The sequence below is a fragment of the Homo sapiens genome, chromosome 16, assembly GCF_000001405.40.
Source record: "Homo sapiens chromosome 16, GRCh38.p14 Primary Assembly".
In the NCBI taxonomy this organism is placed as follows: Eukaryota; Metazoa; Chordata; class Mammalia; order Primates; family Hominidae; genus Homo; species Homo sapiens.
In genome coordinates, this window is record NC_000016.10 from 89,356,870 (window position 1) to 89,379,698 (window position 22,829).

The following is a 22,829-nucleotide window of genomic DNA, read 5'->3' on the forward strand; positions in this document are numbered from 1 at the left end:
AAAGCCTGAGGCTTCTCCCAGGCCCTGTGGCTGTAATCTCCCGGAGTCCCAGGCATCCTGCTGCTGGGAAGGGCCAGCTCCCAAGTGACCTGTGACCATCTTGGAGGGGTTGGTGGCTGCCTTGTCAGCAGGGCATGTCCCAATGCTAATGGTTCAACAGCCAGGCTTGACATCTTTTATTCTAAAAATCTACCACAGAATAGCCAAAGGGCAGTGGTGGGGATGAGGATGAGTCTGTAGGAGGGACAGTGTAAGGAAGGTGGAGCCATCTAGGGGCACTGCTCAGAGGTAGGCTCGGCCAGAGCTACAACACACCTTCGAAGATGAGTGGGGTTGGGGGCGGGGTGAGTCAGCTTCAACACACCCAGGATTCACCTCTCATCTGTCAAATCTGCTGATAAAAGTCACACCATGAAGGAAGGGCAGTCAGGGACTGTGCTCACCACGTGTCCCGGGGACAGGACACTTGCTGCCAGTCTCCAGCACCTCACAGGGAACCAGGGGGCAGGTGAGCTTGTGGAGAAACAGGAATCCTCGTGCATTGCTGGTGGGAACATATAATGGTGCAACTGCCAAAAAAAAACAGTGTGACGATTCCTCAACAAATTACAAAAGGACTAAGCATATGATCCAGCAGTTCCCCTTCTGGGTAGATATACAAAAGAACTGAAAGCAGGGCCCCCAAAAGACAGTTGTACTTCGACGTTCACAGTTCACACAGCATGGTTCCCAACAGCAAACCCGAGTGTCCCCTGGCGGATGACAGAGAAGCAGAATGCGTCTGCACACAGCATAACGCGACTCAGCCCTAACGAGGAATGCCTGTCACAGCCAATGCTGCGGACTCCACTCACAGGGTCCAGGGACAAACAGCAGCTGCACAAGAGGAAGGGCCCTGAGGGAGGAGTCTGGGAGGAACCACTGCTCATCGGCAAGCCAATCCATGGCCACAGGACAACGCTGCTGAAGGTACTGGAAGCCAGGGTGCTGGCTGCCCCTTTCTGGGGACACCTTTCCTTTCTTTTCCTATTTTTATTGAACACTGGGATGAAAGTAATGAAAAGTAGTAAATCCTTTCAAAACAATCAGATTTAGTTATGATGCTCAATTTCTGAAATCAATCTCTTCAAATAGCCAGTAAATGCTTCCTTTCCAAAGACTGAACCCTCTTACTGCTTTGAACAATGGAGGAAGTGAGTGAGGCACCAGATGCAACTTTTGACCCAAGGACACAGGTCAAGCTGTGACAGTTAACAACCAGGGTGGCTGGAGATGCTGCACCCACCCACGTGGCTTTGCTAGAATGCCACCACGTGCGGGCAGACACAGGCCACAGCCCCCACACCTCACTCTGGCATCAGCACTGGTCCCGCATGGAGCTGTGCCGGCTTGCAGAAGACGTAGAGCACACAGGCGTGTTCCTTCCCTTCTGTTGGCCACATCACAGCTGCATATTCACGGGAGTGAACATCATCTACACAACAGCTTCCACGTTTGCAAACATGCACAGCTTAGCGACCACGTTTCAAAGAGCCACGTGGATAACTGCCTATATTACTGGTACTCAATTTCCAGGTTGGGTTGGTAACTGGATTGTTTACAACACAAAGGATAACTAGTTGAGAAGATGGATACCCCGTTTTCCATGATATCATCACTACGCATTGCATGCCTATATCAAAACATCTCATGGACCCCATAAATACATTCATCTATGTACTCACAAAAACTTTAAAAATAATAATTAATAAATAAACAGAATGACTAAGATTTCAACTGTTTACCCAGGATGCTGCCTGCAGCTCATTTCAGTGACAACCCACAAGCTGCCCTCGCTGGCCCTGTGTGCTGAGGACGGGACATCTGCACCCAGCCCTAGATAACCCCACGTGCAAACCACTTCCCCTGTGCCGCTAAAACCCACATCTCACATTTCAGTTATAGTTTGTTTTTTGCCTGTAGGTTTTTTTTTTGAGAATAGGGTCTCCCTCTGCTGCCCAGGCTGGAGCGCAGTGGTGCGATCATGGCTCACCACAGCCTCGACCTCCTGGGCTCAAGTGATCCTCCCACTTCAGCCTCCAGAGCAGCTGGGACCACAGGCATGCACCACCACACCTGGCTAATTTTCTATTTTTTGTAAAGACAAGGCTATACATTTCTTATATATGTCTAAATCGTCAGTATTAAACACTGACAGAGCAAAGCCTTTCTCTGCTTCAAATTTTAATATTCCAAAATATATAAAACATCATTGTCACTGTCCTCATCTAAAAGACTGATTCTGGAAGAAAAAAAAAATCAATCTGAAACAAGATCACGGAAATGCGATCTGTCCCACACACACCATCTTTAACATGAATGGTGCCTCCAAAGAACAAATGCTAGATGCAAACTGCTTGAGTATGCTTCTTTATTTTTAGTAAAGACTCCAGAAAATCCCAGAGCAGCCATTTCCCATACAACTCAATCGCACGTACAGCCCTTTAAAAAGCAGACTCCCAGGGAACTGCAGCCAGCTCCTGGAGCCAGCCCCAGCAGAGGAGCAGGAAGACCTTCCAGCCTGCGCCAAGGAGCAGCGCACACGTCTGCTGCAGCCCCTCGGCCCCCACTGCTTCGGGATGCAGATGGCAGCACTGTGACCTCACTGTGCCTACCTCCTTGTTCCGGCCCTGCAGTCTTGATTCTTCAGGCTAATCCCACACTCTGAGCCTTGGCTGCTGGCCGAAACTGTTATTAATGGCACAGAGCTGCTCATTTCAGCTTCTTTTACCACGAAGGTAGCCGGCTGTTCACCTCTCTGCCTCTCCACACTGAAGCAGGAACTGGGTAACTGTACAAGAGGCATTTTCAACGGTCTTCATATCTGAGTCTCAACAGCCAGCAGAAGATGTTTGCATTTTAGTCTACACTACATTCTATGTGATGCAGAAAGATAAGATAGTTTTTATTCAATTCTTGTGTAAAAGCTACAAAACCCTAAGAACAGAGAGTGCCATGGATGCCAAAATCAGCATCACATAGTTTATATGTTTTTTAACTTTTAGGTTCGGGGGCACATGTGAGGGTGTACTACATAAGTAAACACATGTCGGCAGTGGGCGGGGGGGGAGGTTGTACGTGTTATTCTATCACCCAGTACTAAGCCCAGTACCCAACAGTTATCTTTTCTGCTCCTCTCCCTCCTCCCGCCCTCTCCCCTCAAGTAGACCCCCGTGTCTGGTGTTTCCTTCCCTGTGTTTTTAAGTTCTTATCATTTAGATCCCACTTGTAAAGTCAGAACATGTAGTATTTGGTTTTCTGTTCCTGAGTTAGTTTGCTGAGGCTAATAGCCTCCAGCTCCATCCATGTTCCCATAAAAGACATGATCTCGTTCATTTTTATGGCTATGTTATCTTATCTTATTTTGTATTAGGGATGGGGCTTCACTATGTTGCCCAAGCTGGCCTGAAACTCCTGGGTTCAGGCAATCCTCTCGAATTGGTCTCCCAAGTAGCTGGGACTACAGGTGAACATCACCATGCCCACTTTTCCATCTTCATCACTTGATAAACATTTATAATGAATGACATTAAATTACACATAGCAAAATTCTGAGAAACTATATACCACAAATCCTACAAAATTTAAAAGATTAAAAAACCATGGATTATTGTTATGTGCATTAGCCAATGTCAGTGGTTCCAATATTTACTTTCACCACTAAAATGGCACGAAAGCATGAAGTCGGGAATGACAGCATTCTAGAAGCCAGTGCACCTGAGATGAAATTCATGGTATGTTCGGAACCTAGAACGTCGATGGTCAACACTAGGCAGCTTCATCTGTCATACGTGGACTCCCTTTCAAAACTCCAGGTGTGTGTGTCTGTCATGTGGCTATGGAGAGGAAGAGGAGAAGAAAAGATTTCGATTCACTAAAAACTCCTGTTAAGCCTCCAAGAAAGATCCAAGTAATCAGATACCTGGTCAGTCACAGCCTCTCTGCATGAAGCCTCTCTGCATGTGGTTAAGACCTGCAAACCTCAACAGAATCCACGGTCTCTTGCCCCTGCACTGAGCCTGTGTCGGGACTTGGCCACTGCTCTGCATCAGGTGAGAGGCTCCTTGTCTCTCACATCCAGATGGATCCGATCCAACTCACACAGTGAACGACTCCAAACCTGGGCAGCCCTGGGCTCCAGGATCAGCCCACCCCAGCCCCTGCTGCAATGGCACCTCCTACTCTCATTGTGGAAACCTGTCAACCCAATTACAGACACCCTGGCTAGGCCCGTACTTCTTCCTGTAAGCCTGAAACCCTGCTCAGCTACCCTAAACCACCACCTCTGCGCACCCCTTAGGAAACCCCAGCAGCACATCCCCCTTCTTCCTCCCGCAGAGGGCCTGCCCCAAGCAGCAGGAAACGGGGTGACACAGGCCTTCCTTGGCCTCAGCACACACAGAACCATCACAGCGCCGGGGGCGGGGGGTGCTGCAGGGACACATTCCAGCTGTGCACTTCTCTGGGGGCCAGCACAGACCACTGAGCATGAGCTGCCTCATTCAGGCCAGGTGACTGTCTTCATCATCATTCAACTTTGAAACTTAGGGTTTGTGCCAGTCCACCTGTTTATGTTCCATACTTACATATCCCAAGCCATTAACAAGTGTTTTCTTCTTTGGTTATGATGCTACAGAATCAGCAGAGGAACATCCGCATCACCAGAAGGCTCTGCAGGCAGCACTGAGGCCCATCCTGCTGGGAGAATGCCGCTCTGAGGGCAGTGGGACTGCCAGCAAAGGACACAGGCTCAGGGAGACCTTCCACTCCTGCTGAAACACCAATCAGTAGAAGATCACCACCCAGAAATATCACTTTCAAGCTTAAGGATCACAAGTTACAAAGATAAATGTCTCTAAGGACTAAGGGAGAAGTACAAAGTAAAAAGATTTAAGCTTGGGAAAATTAACCCTAAACATTTAAAAACAAAACAAACAAAAAAAATCCGCACTCTAGATAAGACCTTCAAAACAGCATGCCTGTCAGAGGGACAGTAAAGGTCAGACGGGGCAGCAATGGGGTATGAGCTGGCACAGCCTTGCAACACCCTGGATGGGCGGCCAGGGGCTTGTGAGAGTGGCTCCAGGCAGGAGGACCCTGAATTTATGGGAGGGGGCAAGACTAACCCTCAAGTGCTCCTCAGATACGTTTCATTAAATGCACTGAAAGTTTTGTAAAAGATGCAAGTTTCAACATGAGATACAATTATTTACCCAATCTGACATGTGGCTTAACAAATGTGAGTGGATTAGGGGATTTTTGTTTTATTCTTCTGAAATACCAACTGCCTTCTTCTTCCCCTTCTGAAACAACCACTGGACAAACTGAACGGCACATATGCTTTTCGGGATCTCAGCGTAAGCAGCTCCCACTGCTAGGGATGAAGAGTGCTCCTCTGTCTGCCTGAGTGAAACCTCACGACACCTTGCACAGCCCGCAGTCCTTGCTGACTGGAAGCAGAACCAAAACCTGAGCTGGAGAGAGTGCACGAAAGTTCCATCTAGACCCAAACCTAAATTGCACAGCTACAGAATGAAGTGAACAGCACTGAAGCCGGAAGGGACAAGACTCAATCCCACGTGACTGAACCCATGTGTCCAGCACCAGAGATACTGGGCGGAGCACACATCTCAGCTGTGTAAAAAGTAGAAGTTCCTCTTCAAAGACTTTCCTCCCCATCTAATTAAAAATAAATAGTAACTTCTCTTAAAAGCAACATTTATTCAAAGACCTGTGCTGACATTCCTAAATATCTGCTAGCCTTAATAAAGAAATCAATGTACTTTATGTTCTTAGCTCCCACAATTTAGCCTAAGTATCTGCCCTGGCATGCTTATACTGGTCGAAGCAAGCATTAGGTCACGGCCTGTTCCTCTTCCTTAGTTGAAGGTGTTTTTACCTTTCTCAGCATTCCACAAATTACTTCCTCCTTCCTTTGTTCTCCTCTGCCTTTGCCTCTTTTAAAAAGTTCTAAGTTGCTAGCCAATCGGGACAAATACAGAATGTGAGGTCCCGTTCCAGCCAATGGAAACCGGACACAGCAGTTGGTATAAAAAAACCGGACACAGCGTCAGGTTATAAATGACCCTGGTCTCCTTTATCCGGTGTACTCTCGTGGCAAAACTGCTGGCGAGTGTACCCTTTCTGCAGAAGGTATAAAAAATGGCCTTGCTGAGGAAATTAAATTTACGTTCAAGTGCTATTTCTTTACGGCACCAGGGCACAAGCATTTCAAACAGCTGGGAACACGCCTATCCCTGTTAAAAAAAATATACGATGTTTCCAGATAAAAGAATTCTGATCAGAAATAGGTAAGTTTTCATTTAAAATTTTTTCCTATACTCTGCCTTCTGAAGCAGTCTCTAAATTCACCCTGTATTTGACGGTGCATGCGAATTTGTTATTTATGCTTAAATGCCAGCCAAGGAGTAAGATTCAGTCTGCATTAGGAGATATACCTAATGCTAAATGACGAGTTAATGGGTGCAGCACACCAACATGGCACATGTATACATATGTAACAAACCTGCACGTTGTGCACATGTACCCTAAAAGTATAATAATAATAAAATTAAAAAAAAAAAAGATTCAGTCTTGCAAAGTTTTGAAATCTCTCAAGGGGGAAAAAAAACCTTACATAGTTCACAATTCTGAGTCCAGAATCTAGGAGAAACCACCAAAACTTTCTTTGCATTCTGTCAAATTCAAACGCACTCTGTGTGCCAAGCCTCACTCACTTTATGTCCACCAAGCACCACACGCTGCTTCCCGTGTATGTGGCCCAGGCCCCTGTGAAACAAACACACTCTCTGTGGTAGACTGGAAGAACACGGGCCTGCAGGTTCCAGTCAGGAAGTGGAGTGCTAGCCCTATGCGGTGACTCATGCCTGGAGCACAGCACTTCAGGAGGCTGCGGCAAGGAGGACTGACTGAGGCAAAAAGTTCGAGACCAGCCTGGCCATCGTGGCAAAACCCTGTCTCTACAAAAAAGAAAAAAAAAATTACCCAGGTATGATGGCATACATGCCTGCAGTCCCAGCAACTCAGGAGCCTGAGCAGGAGGACAGCTTGAGCCCGGGAGTTGGAGGGTGTGGTGAGCTATCATTGTGCCATGCCACTGCATTCCTGCCCAGCCGACCAAGTGACACGCTGATTTAAAACACACACACACACACACTCAATGGAAGGCAAAAGAAAAGGAAGAAAAAAAAGACATGGAGCCTTTCTTTCCAGCCCTGGAGCCTGGGTGTACCCCAGACTTGCTGGGCCCACGAGGACCCTGCCACTTCCACCTGTGCCCTCAGGCAACATGTGGGGGCCCACACAGACTGAAGTATGAAATGGATTCAGCCCCCATCAGCCTAATGCAGCTTCATGAGTGATCCCAGGTATGACCAGCAGAAAACCACCAGGCAACACAAGAATTAAGAGAACTCATAAATCATTATTTTCTTAAGACACCATGTATTGTCTTACACCGCAATAGGTAACTGAAACACATCCTACTCACGGTAAGAACAAGCTGAAATATGGAAAGTTGTTTGAGATGCTACTTAAACACAGATTTAACTCCAGAGCAGAGCCTTTCCATGTATTTTTCTTAACCTATTCGCCCTCAAAACAGCGCTGAGCACAGCAGTCAGACCCTAAAGCAGAGGTGTCCAATCTTTTGACCTCCCTGGGCCACACTGGAAGAAGAACTGGCTTGGGCCACACATAAAATACACCAATGCTAACAACAGCTGATAAGCTTAGAAAAAAATCTCATAACGTTTACAAATTTGTGTTGGGCCACATTCAAAGCTGCCATGGGCCGCGGGCTGGACAAGCTTGCCCTATCTCACACTGTTCCCTGTCAGACTGTAAACACTACTCAGAATCACACAATCTCATCTCGGCTCCAAGTGGAAGCTTGCTCAGCACCACGGCCAACCTGATCCCACTGCAGATGTTCCAACAGCCTGGCACGCAGATGGCCCAGGGAAAAGCCTCATCGAATGCTGAATACCTGTGAGATCATTTCTTACAAAGCCAAATGAACAACACTATGTTAATTTTCAAATTTTGGCATGGAAATCACATTCTAAGACGCTTCCCAAGCTTTCTGGAGGATGCTATGAATTCTGTTTTATAGGTAACAAGTCTGGAAGCCAAAATAATCAAGATTTAATAAAATGGCCTCAAAAGTGACAAGACTCTCCTTCCCTTATGACAGACCATGTTTGCTTTCCTTTTTACTAGATGATTAACTCAATTCTTTCAACAATCCTGTCCAGTGATGACTATCTTGTTGGCTGGTCAGAAGGGGAAGTTCCAGAGCTGGTTTTTGTAGAAAACCTCAGATTCTTTCAATCCCAGGCCATCTTATCACGTAGTCTAAACCCTTGTGTCATCACCTCCTGACGTTTCCATCAGCAGAGGCAGAGCTCTCACCTTAAAGAGCATGAGGCCAAATCACTGGCTGCAAAGCACAGAACACAGACATCCTTGGCCACACAAGAGTGAGAGCCACTGAGCCCAACCAGGGTGCAGGGGAGCCTCCCAGATGAGAGGCCTGTGCTTGGTCCCACAGGGTGCAGCCTTACCGTGCTGCTGAGACACTCTGCCCAAGAAATGGCTCCAGGATTTTCTGAAACTCGCTTTCAAAATATTTCCAAGCTCTTATGTCTTGTGTATGCCTTAATAATTGAAAAAGAGGTATGTTCACTCAAGAAAGGGAAGAGCAGTAAGCCAAGTAGGGGGCCTTTTACCGCAATTCTTCCTGGGCAGTGTCTGTGGAAGGTGGTCTCTCCGCAGAAACCCAACGTTTTTTTTAACTTTGTTTTAGGTTCGGGTTGCAGGTTTGTTACGTAGGTAAACTTGTGTCATCAGGGTTTGTTGAACAGACTATTTCATCACCCAGGTGTTAAGCCCAGTACCCAACAGTTATTTTTTCTGTTCCTCTCCCTCCTCCACCCCCAACCCTCAAGCAGACCCCAGTGTCTGCTGGTCCCTCTCTGTGTCCACGTGTTCTCATCATTTCGTTCCCATTCATAAGTGACAACACGCAGTATTTGGTTTTCTGTCCCTGCATTGGTTTGTTAAGGATAAGGGCCTCCAGGCTCTATCCATGTTCCACAAAAGACATGATCTGATCACTTGAACCTGGAAGGTGGAGGTTGCAGTGAGCTAAAATGGCGCCACTGCACTCTAGCCTGGGTGACAAAGTGAGACTCCATCTCAAAAAAAAAAAAAAAAAAAAAAGACATGATCTCATTCTTTTTCATGGCTGCACAGTATTCCACGGTGTATATGCACCACATTTTCTTTATCCAATCCGTCACTGATAGATGCTCATGTGGATTCCATGTCTTCTTCTGTGAATGGTGCTGCAATGGACATTCGCCCGCATGTGTCTTTATGGTAGAATGGTTTCTATTCCTCTGGGTATATACCCAGTAATGAGACTGCTGGGTCAAATGGTAGTTCTGGTTTTAGCTCTTAGAGGAATCGCCATACTGCTTTCCACAGGGTTGAACTAATTTACACTCCTGCCAACAGTGTATAAGTGCTCCCTTTAATCCACAGACTCGCCAGCATCTGTTATTTTTTAACCTTTTCGTAACAGCCATGCTGACTGGTGTGAGATGGTGTCTCGCTGTGAGAAACCCAGTTTTCACGATCAGCTGGTTTCCACTCGCTGAAATCAGCAGACTCTTGTTGAAAAGGCTGCCATCTTGCCTTGGCTAACCCGAGCTGTTTCCTGTATCTGTCATGAGGGTGCTGAGACATGTCTAGACAGAGGTGCGGCACAGTCAACTGGACACCATCCATGACTTGGCCCTAACAAAGCAGCTCTCTTGAATGTGTGCTATGGGTACACCAAGTCCCACTTCCGGGGGCACCCAGGGCAGGGGTCAGCAAAGGCTTTCTGGAAGGGTCCAGATGACACACACTTTGGGCTTTGCAAGCCACTCACGGCCTCTGTCACATCATCCTGTTGCTGCTGTGAACGACCCTTTAAGAATGTGAAGACCATCCTTCGCAATCTGGTTGTACAAAGACAGACCCACAGGCTGGATTAGGTCCGCTGATTGTGGTTTGCCAGCCCCTGGCCTGGAGCTTTGCCAGTGTGCAGGCTGGATGCCCAGCCACGGCTCCTTCTGCTAGGACGACCTCTCCTCTATGACAGACTCCAAGATGCCACCCCGAGACTCACCGGATACTCACTACCTCAACTCTCCACCCCGCACCCATCGGTGAGGAAGAGCAGGCACCTCAGGGGGACAGTCCATACATCCCCCTTCGTGTTTCCCATCGAAACACAACAGTCCACTCCACGTGGGAGTTCAGCGTTCTCTCAGGGGTGGGTAGAGCGCCGCTCCAGACTCCTGCCGCAGGGGCCAGTGCTGGCCCAGCAGTACCGGGAGCCCCTCCTCCTGAGCACAGTGGCGGCGCCCAGAGCGGCAGACCTCCCACCACTGCTTCCACTGGGGAAAGGCCGGGGATGCTCAACGCAACCTTAGCCGGCAACTCAGGGGAGAGACGCTCTCAAACGACCGGGAGTCTCAGGGGAGCGACGCTCTCAAACAACCCGGAGTGTACAGCTGCCATGGTCACCCACGCTCCCTCTTAGGCCACGGCACACACCAGTCCCTGCCGCCTGCTCCCCTCTACCCTGTTCCTGACCCGTCCCTCCTCAGCCTGACAAGTCCACATTGCTTGGGGGCCTCTATAAATCCTCCATGGCACAAAACCTCCCTTGACCAGGAAAGCTCCCAAAGGCTCCAAGCAGCAACAGCTGCAGGTTTTTTGCAGATTGGTGAGTACAGCTCCACGCATCCCATCCTGACTACCCCCAGCGGCTGCATGTCCACCTGCTGCTGCCTCTTGCAAACTATGACTTGTTCAAAAGCAGGTGGGGAGCCTGGGCAACATGGCGAAACCCTGTCTCTACAAAAAACAAAAATCAGTCAGGCACGGTGGTGTGCTTGTGGTACCGGCTACTCCAGAGGCTGAGGTGGGAGGATCACTTGAGCCCAGGAGGTCAAGTCTGCAGTGAGCCATGACTGCACCACTGCACTCCAGTGTGGGTGACAGAACAAGACTCACTCTCTCAAAACAAAAAACAAAAAAAGAAATTGTCCTTGCAACCAACTGCTGTGCTCCGTTTATCTGAAAACCCTGTTTATCTGATTTCTAGTCCTGTTCACAGTGCTCACTACGCTACTCATTGGTTTAAAAAATAAGTCCTACATCAAACCAGATTCCAACAATTCCAACATACTCTGTCCACTCTTAACATGTTTTCGAGCTTTTTTTTTTTGATACAGATTCTTGCTCTGTTGCCCAGGCCAGACTGCAGTGGCACAATCTCGGCTCACTGCAACCTCCGCCTCCCAGGTTACAAGCGATTCTCCTGCCATAGCCTCCTGAATAGCTGGGATTACAGGTGCCTGCTGCCGTGCCTGGCTAATTTTTGTGTTTTTTTTTTTTTTTTTTTTTTTTTTTTTTTAGTAGAGATGGGGTTTCACCATCTTGGCCAGGCTGGTCTCGAACTCCTGACCTCGTGATCCACCTGCCTCGGCCTCCGAAGTGCTGGGATTACAGGCATGAGCCACCGCGCCCAGCCCAGAGCTTCTTTTGTGCAGCATTTTCTCTTGCTCTCAATTTAATTTCTTGCTCTAAGGGAAAAGACAGCAATAAAAACACGCAGCTCTTAAAAAAAAAAAAAAAAGGGCTGGGTGCCATGGCTCACATCTGTAATCCCAACATTTTGGGAGGCTGAAGTGCTATAATTGCTTCAGCCCAGGAGCTCAAGACCAGCCTAGGCAACACAGTGAGACCAGTTTCTAAAAAAATACAAAAATTAGTCAGGTGTGGTGGTGCACGCCTGTGGTTTCAGCTACTCCAGAGGCAGGCGGGATCGCTTGAGCCAGGAGGTTGACGCCACAGTGAGTCCTGACCAAGCCACTGCACTCAAATCTAGGGGAGGAGAAAGACTCTGTTTCCAAAAATTTAAAAAATGGGCACACAGAACAAAGAGGCAGTGGGACTCTAAGAGAAGGTCTTCGTGCTCGCCTGGAGGGAACAAGGGTTGCATAGAGACTTGGGAGTCAACCAAGATGTAAGCAGCAGACTGAGAGACCCCCCACTGGCACCCATTCCTCCACAGCAAGCCCACAGCTGCCCTACAATGATCACATCACTACCAAGCTCTGGCCTGACAATCTACCCTAGAAAGGACCAACCACACCAGATCACAGCATAAGCACCCCAAACCCAAGAAGTTTTCCCAAGAGAGAATATGAAACAATAATCTTCAAAGGGCTGGTCTCCAAACAAAAGGCAGTGCAGCGACCTACACCTAGGTACGCCCGAGAAATGCCCACACGTCTCCACGACACTCGCAGGTCTGTGTTCACAGCAGCGCTGCAAAGGGCCAAACAGAGACCATTCAGGTGTCCATCAGCTGATGGGTGCATGACCCGCATGACCCTGCCACAGGGAGGGCTGTGCTCTGATGCCTGCTGCAGCAAGGGTGCGCCTCCACGGCACCAAGCTCTGCCGCAGCATGGGTGCGCCGCAACAGCACAAAGCTCTGCCGTATCAGACACAAAGGCCCACAGATTGTCCTTCACATGAACGTCTGGAATAGGCAGATAAATCCACAGACAGAAAACAAGACTAGTGGTTGCCAGGGTGGAAAGAGGATCCTGGAAAGGGAGGGGGTGCGGTCACAGAAGGACAACCAGGGGGGTCCTTGTGGTGACGCAAGGGTTTTAAGGTCCCGACTGTGGGACACAGGCATCTGCATCTGTGATCAACTGTACAGAACTCAATACCCTTTCCAAGTAAGGGTGAAACAGCTGTCTAAGACCAGAGGGTTTCATCAATGCCGATATACACCCTAGGGGTGATACTGTTCAGTGTGCAAAATGCCACCACTGGGGAAGCTTGGCAATGTGTACAAGGGACTGCTCCCTGTTCTTTCTTACATCTCATGTCATCTATGGTTATCTCAGAAGAAAACAAACAAAAACCAAACACGGGGGGCCCAGCCCACCTCAAACCCCAGCTGCAGGATGGAAGCTCAGAGAGGCTGGGGGCCTGGCCCCTTCAGGAAGAGCCAGGCCAAGACCATCCAGTAACGAGAACGCAAACCTTCTGGCTTCAGAGCTCTCACTGAGGAAGAATCTCAGGCATGGCAGGAAGAAGACACACTGCTGTTCAACTGGAAAAGGATCAGACTCAGTAAAATGCTCTTTGCATTCTTCCCCACGCCCCTCCCTGCCCTGGAGCTGGGGTGGAGCTGCTTCTTCTCAGGACTCAGGCGAGGGGAGCCCATGTCCAGGGGTGGCCAGCCTGCACTTTAGTGTGGGCCTGTGCCCAACTATGTGGCAGCTCTGAGGATGAGAAGATGTTTCTGGAAGGAGCTGTGAGCCACAGTGCAGTCCAGAAGGGGAGACAGGCGTGCCCGGTACCTGCCCCAGCCACACCCTGGGCCCAGTTAGGATCCTACAGGATCCTGAGCCCTCCTGCCGTTATCCAGGGCAAAGATGGCAAATGGCTCCTGCAAGATGACACCCAGGGCCTTGAGGCAAATTCCCCCAACCAAGCAAAGAGAAGACCAGAGGCTGGAGCACACCTCCTGCTGATGGAAACAGCCCAGCAGCGACCACAGGGCCTTCCAGGCAGCTCAGCGTCACCGCACACATTTGACAAATGACCGACTGAAGCCTAGGACGCCCAGGTGAGCTCAGCATCCTCCCCTGACCTGCACCCACCTGGCCTTGTTCCTCCACGGCAGGACCCGAGAGCAGAAGGGAGCTTTCATCACGGTGACTGCTGTGCTGGGAAAGGTTTCCATGATGCTGGTCAGAGGCAGCCGAAGATGGCAGCAACCTCCCTGCTGATGTCAGCCCCAGACGACCCCCAGGCCGGCTCCTGAGTGCTCAGTACAGCAGCCTCTCAAAAGGCCAAGCCTCCATTCACCCCACGGCACTCAACACACCCAAGAACAGAACCCTGCAGGCGCCACGAGACGCCCAAGAACCAAGCCCTGCGGACACCACGAGACAACCCTAGGGCTCCGTCCCTTGCTTGAGCTCTCCTAGTTGAGAAAAATGTGTTTGGCAATGTTATAGCTGCCCCGTCTCATGACGAAGGGGACTTGTTCAGGTGAGAAACGTTCAACTGCGCGCTCGCTTACTGAAAACCGCCGAGGGGGAAGACGGGACGAGCGTCTTGACTTTCAGGGTGCACGTAAGTGGCTGGTCCCACCAAGGAAGTGCCAGAAAAAGATGCAACGACTCTCACTACCTCCCAACACTTTCGCAAATACTCACTGAAGAAAGGCCACCTACACAGAGAGGCAGGTTCAGCATGACACCACTAGGCAATTCTCACAGAACAGAAACAAATAAAGAATAAGAAAGAGATGACAGACAAGCACCGCCAGTGTCCATTCTACCATTTGGTGTCGTTTTATGTCATTTAAATCAAGTCATTCCCTGCACAGACAGGTGTCCAGCTGCTCGGTGCATGGAGGCCAGAGCCACAGAAGGGGCCGCTGACGCCAGCAGCTTCTCTCTGGTGCCCAGGCTATGTGGTCTGTAGTCTGTGCACCACCCACAGATGAGTTCTCTCAAGGACCAGCTCAGATTCCGCCATGCTGCAGGAAGGTCCAGGCAGGCGCCGCTCCCCACATTCAAGGGTGCTGTGCACTCCCTGCCCACATGACGACACCCAAGGAGGGGTGTGGAGGGCGATGCAGACTCCCCCCTGCACCCCCTCAGGATGACTAGATGGATATGAGAGGTGGTCTCGGGTGTGGAGGGCGATGCGGACTCCCTCCTGCACCCCCTCAGGATGACGGAGAGGAGAGGTGGTCTCCATCAAGGCCACGCCCTCTGCCCAGGCCAGCAATGTCCATCATGTTCCTGAGCAAACCGAGCTCTTCCACAGGAGGAAAGGGAGGTAGACCTGGTGACCGTGTGACTCCACTGGCATCAAGAGGAACTCTACTGACTGGCCTGTTACAGAACAGGAGGCTGCTCCATAGAAATCAGCTGGAAGAAAGAACCCACAGAGGCTCTAAAGATGGGACCGGTTTGTCACGGGCCAAGAACATGGTGAAGCCAGGACTGAGCACTCACACTGAAACCAGTGGGTCCCCAGGTGGACTGAGGAACCACAAGGACCACCACGGCGGGCACCCGGCCCTCGCATGCACACACGGGCAACTTTACAACCTGGCCTGGGAAGAAGGACCGGCGCCCACTCCCAGGAGGAAAAGCAGCGGCAGCGCACGGCAAGATGGATCCTGACACTCAGAGCTGGGGAAAGAGCCACACGTCCTCCTGCAGCCCGAGCCTCTCACTGAGATTAAGAGGGGCTCTGGGGCAGGCGGAGGCGGCGGCAGCGCCCAGCGACGGATGCGGCCACCACTGCAGGGCCTGCCGCCGGTGTGGAGAGCCCGAGTCACGGAGCCCCATGCTGCCCCTCACAGCACGGACGGGGTCGACAAGGCAGTGGCAGGCGGAGTGAGAGGCGGCTCAGGGCACCAGCTGCCCACTGAGTCACTGTGAGAAGAGCGAAGGCCAAGGCTTGGGAAGGTTTCCAGCTGACAGAGACGCCACTGAAACATGAGCTGATAAAACAAGATGATGTTGGAGATTTACTAAAATACTAACATTAAGATATTAATACTAAAAATTAAAATACTGAAATTAAAAAATGTTTAAAGAAAGAAAAAAATTTTTTTGAAAACATGAACAAGTGCAAGGAGGAGATGGATCAACCCGAGCTGGTCAAATGCTAGTAAACGCTGAGCCCGGGGACCCAGGACACTGTTCTCTCAGATTTTGTGACTGAAGATATTCCCCACGCAAAGTTAAACAAATGTTGAGAGTCAGAAAGCCACCCTGTGGCAGGGACTCACTGAAAGTTACTTCCTACAGCTCCTGCACCACCCGTTCATCAGTGGTCCCCGTTTACGGACCCCGGAAGCTCCCGGGTGACCCAGTCCACCTCAGAGAGTATCACCCACAGAATGCAAGCTGACTGGTGTGTGCCTGCCTACCTACATACACCCCGAGGAAGGCACAGCACCCACAGTACGTGCGTTCACTGCAAGGAAAGAATCTTCCAGTCACCGTTCCTCTGTCCCCATTGTCGCTGTCATAAAGAACTCTTCTCCCGCTGCATATCACCGGGGTTCAAATAAAGCCCTTCTGAGGGATGCCCTGTGGGAATGACAGAAGCAATGGAAAAGGCCTTCACAGATCATCCAATGCAACTGGAAAACTAAGACGTTTACCCAAGATTGTGAAGCAATTTAATAGCTGAACTTGAACAAAAACACCTATTTCCAAAATTATCCCCAGATAAGTGGTAAGGCTGTGGTAAGCGGCAGCATCCAACACAGCAACACCGGACCCCTGGCTAGAATAACCCACACAGTGATACAGATGCGCAGGAAGCTCAATTCCAAAACACACGCCTTCCACCGGGGGCAACCCCAACAGGGAGCCAGGCCACCCTCTCCAGCCACGCCAGCACCGCCGTCCACCCAGCTGCTCCTTCGAGCCGTGCACGGCCTGAGTCACAGGAAAAGCCCAGTTCTGCTGAGTGGACGGCTGCAAGGGGAGGCTAAATATGGCTCATAGCAGTACCAGACACCAGCGATTCGAGAGAAAACATCGGCATGTGACTGAGGCTGACGTCGGAAGTTCACATTCCCACGAGCTGCTTTACTTCACGAAATGAAAACATCATGTAACTCTCGCTGATGCATAAGGAAGACCTGCAGAAACGCTGCAGACACAACCCCACGCGGGAGGCATGCACACGACACCCCTCCCACACCTACCTGGGATCCCCCAAGAACCCAGCACCCAGGGACACCTGACAGACGCCTGTGTAGGGTTACAAGATTGGTAGAACCTTATTCTTACTTTTAGTTAGAGCTGCTATTAATTGCACTTGACACAGAGGTGGGGCCTGAGTCTTGGCAGGCGGTCCACACGGGACAGGGTCATCAGGAGTGACCACCAAGCGGGCTGGGGCCCTGGCCCACTCGACATCTCCAGAAGGGTCTGACGACCACAATACCTGCAGGACAGGAGCTCCGCACTTCTGCAAAGCCAGAGTGGAGACAACACGCAAGTGTGAGGCCCGCAGAGAGGGGTGTTAACCCGAGACAAAAATGATCAATAGTTTTACTGGTGATTTTCTTCACCCTCCCCTCTCCCCATGACATCCCTTAAAGAGATCCTTTATTCACGGCAATTCTTTTTAAAAACATTAATATCAGACTTCAAAGATTTACAGTATTTTCATAGAAATCAATGAGATTTTATGCTTATTGAACCTAGTAATTCTCTTCACTTAAAAAATATTACTAGAGAGCCGAGGTCAGCGAGTTATGGCTCACCATGTGTTTTTGTAAAAAAAATAATAATAATAATAATCACACTCACCTGTTTACATAAAATCTATGACTACTTCTGTTCTACATGGGCAGAGCTGAACGATACAACAGGAACTGTACATCCAGAAAAGCCTAAAATACCACTAATCGGCCCAGTACAGAAAAAGCCTGTCAAGCCCTGCTCTGTGAGAGAATTCAGAGCCGATGGCCTCTGCCGGCCGCTGTGTGTGTGAGCTACACTCTGTCCTATGCTTCCAGGATGCGCCATCTACAGAGCAACCTCAGGAGAGCTGTGGGAACAGCTGCTCGGGCCATCTCCCGCGTGCTACGATCAGAGGAGAAAAGCTCCTCCAGAGAGCATCGGGAAAAGCACTTCAACTCTGCTCAGGTAAGGACCAGAAAAAAACAGGAACTAAAACATGCCAGCTGAAGAACTCCATGATGAACGTGGACACACACGTGTGCACAGAGCTGACCCCGAACACCACGGCTTGGCTGCACACGGCAAGTCACCCATCGATTTGTTTTCAACAAATACACTGAAAAACTTATTAGAGATTTGTGACCATTTGGAAAGAATTACAAACCATACAGCCCAGGAATACCGAAAAAAGTCAGAAAAAGTATGTCATGAATGTACAAAATATATGTAGATATTAGTCTATCATTTCCTACCATAAACTATACACAGATTATAAAAAATTAAACGCTTATAAATACTTACAGACTGTACATGGCATCGTTCAGCAGAGGGAAACGTAAACAAACGTAACGTCGCAGGCTCAAGCAGAAGTGTATACAACTCAGTGCGGGACATACCACACTGCACGCTGTAATGATCTCACAGCCACAGCCTGTGCTACCGCGGTGAGCTCAAGTGTGTCGGTATCCGCTTAAAACACCGTGTGACACTAATCGTCTCCGCGTGAGCAGCTGGTCTCTCCAGAAATTGTGTATCACAGTAAACAAATTATCTCAAGCCTTAAGCTAGTTGCGGTAGCATGGGCCTGGAGTCCCAGCTACTCAGAAGGCTGAGATAAATGGATCGTTTGAGCCCGGGAGTCCAAGACTGCAGGGCACTATGGTCATGCCTGTGACAAGCCGCTGCGCTCCCGCCCAGGCAACACAGCAAGACTCTATCTCTTTTTTTTTTTGGAGATGGAGTTTCACTCTTGTCGCCCGGGCTGGAGTGCAGTGGCACGATCTTGGCTCGCTGCAACCTCTGCCTCCCAGGCCCAAGCGATTCTCCTGTCTCAGCCTCCCGAGTGATTACAGGCGCCCGCCACCACGCCCAGTTAATTTTTAAATTTTTAGTAGAGACAGGGGTTTCACCATGTTGGCCAGGCTGGTCTCAAGCTCCTGACCTCAAGTGATCCGCCCAGCCTCAGCCTCCCAAAGTGCTGAGATTACAAGCATGAGCCACTGCACCCAGCCGACTCCGTCTCTTAAAAAAAAAAAAAAAAAAAAAGCCTCTTGCAGTTCTCAAGTCTTTTTCATTGTGTTTACTCAATACCATAAACCCTAAATGACACCACAGACCCACACAAAGTGCCACTAGCGATGCTGGCAGTGCTCCCAAGAAGCAGAGCTCCCAGGAGTTGTGACTTTAGGAAAAGCTAAACTTGCGTGACACGCCGCAGCCTGTGCTCTGCTGTGGATGCTTTTCAAAATCGATAAATCCAGCAGAAGGGCCATCACAAAAAAAGAACAGGACATCCGTGAAGCCATCACCGCAGCTACAGCAACAGGCTTGAAAATTTTTTTGTGAAATACCTTTTTATCTCACTGAAAACGCAGCTTTAAAATTAATTCCCAAACAGCACGGATATATGAAAATGTGTGGGTGCAGGATTGCTATAAGAAAGGCAAATACCAATAGACTCTAGTCTGATTCCAGAAAAGTGAAGCCATTATACAACAACTGAAAGTAAAAGGAAGGGGAAGCAGCTGGAGAAGTGGATGCCAGCAAAGGATGGTTTGACAGTTTTAGAACGTTTGGCTTTAACAATGTCAAGATAACAGGAGAAGCAGCTTCTGCCAACCAAGAGGTAGCAGATGAGGTCCCAGACACCATGAGGAATATCATCGAGGAAAAAGGACATGTGCCTGAACAGGGTTTTGTTTTTGTTTTTTTGAGTCAGACTCTTGTTCCGTCACCCAGGCTGGAGTGCAGTGGCATGATCTCAGCTCACTGCAACTTCCACCTGCTGGGTTCAAGCTATTCTCCTGCCTCAGCCTCCCAAGTAGCTGGGACCACAGGCGCCCACCACCATGCCCGGCTAATTTTTGTATTTTTAGCAGAGACGAGGGTTTCACCATGTTGGCCAGGCTGGTCTCAAACTTCTGACCTCAAGCGATCCACCCACCTTGGCCTCCCTAAGTGCTGGGATTACAGGCGTGCGCCACCACGCCTGGCCCTGCCTGAACAGGTTTTGAATGCAGGTGAAACTCCCCTATTCTGGCGAAAAAAATCCTGTAAGAACATTTGTTAGTAAGAAAGAGAAGCGAGCACTGGGATAGAAGGCAAGAAGGGATAAGCTAATGCTACTGTTTTGTGCAAATGCAGTAGGGTTTATGATAAGGACTGCCTTTATCTATAAAGCTGCCTACCTCAGAACCTTGAAGGGAAAAGATAAACACCAGCTGCCAGGTATTTGGTTTTGCAACAAGGCTGGAAAGAACCCCTTTTTCCGGACTGCTTCCATTGATGCTTTGTCCGTGAAGTCAGGAAGTACCTTGCCTTGCCAGTAAGGAACTGCCTTAAATGTTCTTTTGACAATGAACAATGCCCTTGGTCCCCCAGAACCCCGTGAGTTCAACAGCAGAGGCGTCAACGTGGTCTTCCTGTCCCCAAACACAGCGTATCTAATTCAGCCTCTAGATCGGGGTCATAGGACCTGTAAGGCTCATTACACACAGCATGCTATGGAAAGGACTGTCAACATGGGAGAGAGAGAGAGAGAGCATCATGAGTGTCTGGAAGATGACACCATGAAAGATGCCATCATTGTTATAGAGAAAGCCATGAAAGCTGTCAAACCCAAAACAATGAACTCCTGCTGGAGAAAACTATGTCTGGAGGTTGTGTGTGATTCCACAGGGTTTACAACAGCCAATCAAGGAGATCATGAAGAGACTGCGGACATGTGGGCCGGGGCAGGAGGGCTGGGGGGCGGGGAGGGATGAAGGGTTTCATTTCAAAACTCAAGAGCTAAGAGATACCACACCAGAGAAATTAGAAGACAACCTGGTGGTGATGAGTGCTTCTGACCCACACCAGGTGACGAGGAGGAGGTAGCAGCAGTGACAGAAAACAAAGTGACATCAGACACTCCTGCAGAGGGGAGGGGTTCCCACGACTCCCACCCGCTTTTAACTTCTTGTACAACACACACCTGTCTGTGACATGGGCACTGAAACTAAAGCCAACAGTGAGGGAGGACTGTGACCATACAGGAACATTTCTAGAGAAATGACAAAGCACTTCGTAAGTTACACCAAATGCGCCTGCCTCTCCTGCCTCCCCTTCTACCTCTTCCACCCCCGCCCCATGAGAACAGCATGACCACCCCTCCTCCTTCTACTCAATGAAATGATGAGGATGAAGACCTTCATGATGACCCACTTCCACTTAATGAGAAGTAAACATATTTTCTCTTCCTTATGATTTTCTTAACAACACCTTCTTTTCTCTAGCTTACTTTACTGTAAGAATACAGTATACAATACATACGACATATAAAATATGAGGGGCATGGTGGCTCACACTTATAATCCCAGTGCACTGGGAGGCCGAGGCGGAAGGATCACTTGAGCCCAGCAGTTTGAGACCAGCCTGGGCAACATGGCAAGCGAGACTCTGTCTCTTTAAGAAGCGGGAAAAAAAGTGCTTTGTATATGTCAGTGTTGGATTAAAATGTGTTGACTGTTTATGTGATCAGGAAGGCACTGGTCAACAAAATTAAATACTCGGGGTATAAAAGGTTATATGTGGACTTGACTGTACCAGGGGTCAGTGCCACTAATCCCCAAGTTGTTCAAGGACCAAACATATATAATGATTTCATCAACGTGTATGTCAACCATATTGATTAGGTCAATATTGATTTGTAATTCTTGATAATAATTTCAAATCATGGCATTGAAGCCTAACCACAAAAACCTCCTCAGAAAATAGCAAAAACGTAGAGCTTTAAAGATATTAAGCTAAATGTACGTGCTATAAGGCTACAGATACAGCAGGCTGGAAATAGTCTGGCTGAGAACACACAACTGGCCAGCATGACTAGCAAGTGCTCAAGTAGCTTCTCTTGTTTGAAGACACTGGTGTACACAAAGATTTCTGCCTCCTGGGTTCAAGCAATTCTCCTGTCTCAGCCTCCCGAGTAGCTGGGATTACAGGTGTGTGCCACCATGCCTGGCTAATTTTTTGTCTGTGTATTTTAGTAGAGACGGGGTTTCATCATGTTGGCCAGGCTGGTCTCAAACTTCAGGCGCTGTGGTTTAAAACTCTTTTATCCATGTTTTAAGGGGTTGATGGGTGGGGCGAGGTGGGGAAGGGCTTTCCAAGGCTGAAAACCTCTTCAGGGGTTGGTGGGTGGGGCGAGGTGGGAAGGGCTTTCCAAGGCTGAAGACCTTTTTGGGTCAAGGTTCTGACGGCACACTGGGGAGCGTCAAGACGCCTCCTGCAGTCGTAGACAAGCCGGGCTGAGGCATTCACTGTCGCTTAGAACTGAAAACTTAGGGTCGTCCATGCCCAGAACGTCGGCAGTGCGGACCAGCCCCAGGAAGGCCTTTCTCACTGGCTTCTAGAAGGTGGGGCCGGCCCCCATGCCTGCCCCGGCACACGGCCATTCTGGGAGCTGCTGGCAGCCGGCGGGCTAGAAGGGGTGCACACCGTCTGTATGTGCGTCACAGGCTCATGCTTTTTTAATCCTATCTTGAAAACTTAGGGCTTTCTCACAAAGACCTTGTGCCAGTTCCTAAGTGGAACAACAATTTTATAAAATAATTTTAAATGGCTCAAATCAAGTGTTACCAGTGAACGGGGCTTTCATTATATGTCGAAAGCTGACCATGGGGAACAGGCCCACAGGGGCCTCCTGCTCCACACCCTGTCAGGGCATCCAAAACCAGCTCATGTAACTCTGCTTTCCAGGAGTCCAACTTGAACATTTTTTTAAAGAGACAAAGTCTTGCTCTGTCGCCCAGACAGAGCTCAGTCACGGCTCACTGCAGCCTCAACCTCCTGGGCTCAAGTGACACTTCTGCCTCAGCCTCCTGGCTCCAACTTGAGCTTACAGTTTTCTGCTCCACCACTGCTCTCTGCCTCCCACCTCCAGGTGACTGGGACGCGAGCGCCCCAAGCAGCACGGAA

At 49.4% G+C, this 22,829-nt stretch overlaps 2 protein-coding genes across 6 annotated transcripts in view, besides 14 other annotated features; both read right to left on the bottom strand.

The window, feature by feature from the left end:
- ANKRD11 (ankyrin repeat domain containing 11) overlaps positions 1-22,829 on the bottom strand; it is a 222,932-nt gene that overhangs the window by 89,240 nt on the left and 110,863 nt on the right. The gene's annotated exons all lie outside the window — the stretch shown is intronic.
- The window catches only part of LOC128462377 (uncharacterized), a 101,247-nt gene that overhangs the window by 39,824 nt on the left and 38,594 nt on the right, over positions 1-22,829 (bottom strand). The window lies entirely within an intron of this gene.
- Positions 69-955: an enhancer, noted in NCBI's record as "H3K27ac-H3K4me1 hESC enhancer chr16:89423346-89424232 (GRCh37/hg19 assembly coordinates)". NCBI's record gives its function as "activates a minimal SCP1, AML or CMV promoter by ChIP-STARR-seq in naive H9 embryonic stem cells {active_cell/tissue: H9 hESC(naive)}" and the evidence as "EXISTENCE:reporter gene assay evidence [ECO:0000049][PMID:30033119]".
- Positions 956-1,842: an enhancer, noted in NCBI's record as "H3K27ac-H3K4me1 hESC enhancer chr16:89424233-89425119 (GRCh37/hg19 assembly coordinates)". NCBI's record gives its function as "activates a minimal SCP1, AML or CMV promoter by ChIP-STARR-seq in naive H9 embryonic stem cells {active_cell/tissue: H9 hESC(naive)}" and the evidence as "EXISTENCE:reporter gene assay evidence [ECO:0000049][PMID:30033119]".
- Positions 2,050-2,119: an enhancer, noted in NCBI's record as "active region_11403". NCBI's record gives its function as "activates an Ori minimal core promoter by ATAC-STARR-seq in GM12878 lymphoblastoid cells {active_cell/tissue: GM12878}" and the evidence as "EXISTENCE:reporter gene assay evidence [ECO:0000049][PMID:35858748]".
- Positions 4,044-4,133: an enhancer, noted in NCBI's record as "active region_11404". NCBI's record gives its function as "activates an Ori minimal core promoter by ATAC-STARR-seq in GM12878 lymphoblastoid cells {active_cell/tissue: GM12878}" and the evidence as "EXISTENCE:reporter gene assay evidence [ECO:0000049][PMID:35858748]".
- Positions 4,181-5,380: an enhancer, noted in NCBI's record as "BRD4-independent group 4 enhancer chr16:89427458-89428657 (GRCh37/hg19 assembly coordinates)". NCBI's record gives its function as "activates an origin of replication core promoter dependent on BRD2, P300/CBP, MED14 and CDK7 cofactors, and independent of BRD4, by STARR-seq in HCT116 cells {active_cell/tissue: HCT116}" and the evidence as "EXISTENCE:reporter gene assay evidence [ECO:0000049][PMID:35650434]".
- Positions 4,204-4,283: an enhancer, noted in NCBI's record as "active region_11405". NCBI's record gives its function as "activates an Ori minimal core promoter by ATAC-STARR-seq in GM12878 lymphoblastoid cells {active_cell/tissue: GM12878}" and the evidence as "EXISTENCE:reporter gene assay evidence [ECO:0000049][PMID:35858748]".
- Positions 4,290-4,853: an enhancer, noted in NCBI's record as "H3K27ac-H3K4me1 hESC enhancer chr16:89427567-89428130 (GRCh37/hg19 assembly coordinates)". NCBI's record gives its function as "activates a minimal SCP1, AML or CMV promoter by ChIP-STARR-seq in primed H9 embryonic stem cells {active_cell/tissue: H9 hESC(primed)}" and the evidence as "EXISTENCE:reporter gene assay evidence [ECO:0000049][PMID:30033119]".
- Positions 5,364-5,433: an enhancer, noted in NCBI's record as "active region_11406". NCBI's record gives its function as "activates an Ori minimal core promoter by ATAC-STARR-seq in GM12878 lymphoblastoid cells {active_cell/tissue: GM12878}" and the evidence as "EXISTENCE:reporter gene assay evidence [ECO:0000049][PMID:35858748]".
- Positions 6,975-7,114: an enhancer, noted in NCBI's record as "active region_11407". NCBI's record gives its function as "activates an Ori minimal core promoter by ATAC-STARR-seq in GM12878 lymphoblastoid cells {active_cell/tissue: GM12878}" and the evidence as "EXISTENCE:reporter gene assay evidence [ECO:0000049][PMID:35858748]".
- Positions 8,597-8,646: an enhancer, noted in NCBI's record as "active region_11408". NCBI's record gives its function as "activates an Ori minimal core promoter by ATAC-STARR-seq in GM12878 lymphoblastoid cells {active_cell/tissue: GM12878}" and the evidence as "EXISTENCE:reporter gene assay evidence [ECO:0000049][PMID:35858748]".
- Positions 12,036-13,023: an enhancer, noted in NCBI's record as "H3K27ac-H3K4me1 hESC enhancer chr16:89435313-89436300 (GRCh37/hg19 assembly coordinates)". NCBI's record gives its function as "activates a minimal SCP1, AML or CMV promoter by ChIP-STARR-seq in naive H9 embryonic stem cells {active_cell/tissue: H9 hESC(naive)}" and the evidence as "EXISTENCE:reporter gene assay evidence [ECO:0000049][PMID:30033119]".
- Positions 13,024-14,011: an enhancer, noted in NCBI's record as "H3K27ac-H3K4me1 hESC enhancer chr16:89436301-89437288 (GRCh37/hg19 assembly coordinates)". NCBI's record gives its function as "activates a minimal SCP1, AML or CMV promoter by ChIP-STARR-seq in naive and primed H9 embryonic stem cells {active_cell/tissue: H9 hESC(naive and primed)}" and the evidence as "EXISTENCE:reporter gene assay evidence [ECO:0000049][PMID:30033119]".
- Positions 18,362-18,451: a silencer, noted in NCBI's record as "silent region_7900". NCBI's record gives its function as "represses an Ori minimal core promoter by ATAC-STARR-seq in GM12878 lymphoblastoid cells {active_cell/tissue: GM12878}" and the evidence as "EXISTENCE:reporter gene assay evidence [ECO:0000049][PMID:35858748]".
- Positions 18,552-19,052: an enhancer, noted in NCBI's record as "H3K4me1 hESC enhancer chr16:89441829-89442329 (GRCh37/hg19 assembly coordinates)". NCBI's record gives its function as "activates a minimal SCP1, AML or CMV promoter by ChIP-STARR-seq in naive H9 embryonic stem cells {active_cell/tissue: H9 hESC(naive)}" and the evidence as "EXISTENCE:reporter gene assay evidence [ECO:0000049][PMID:30033119]".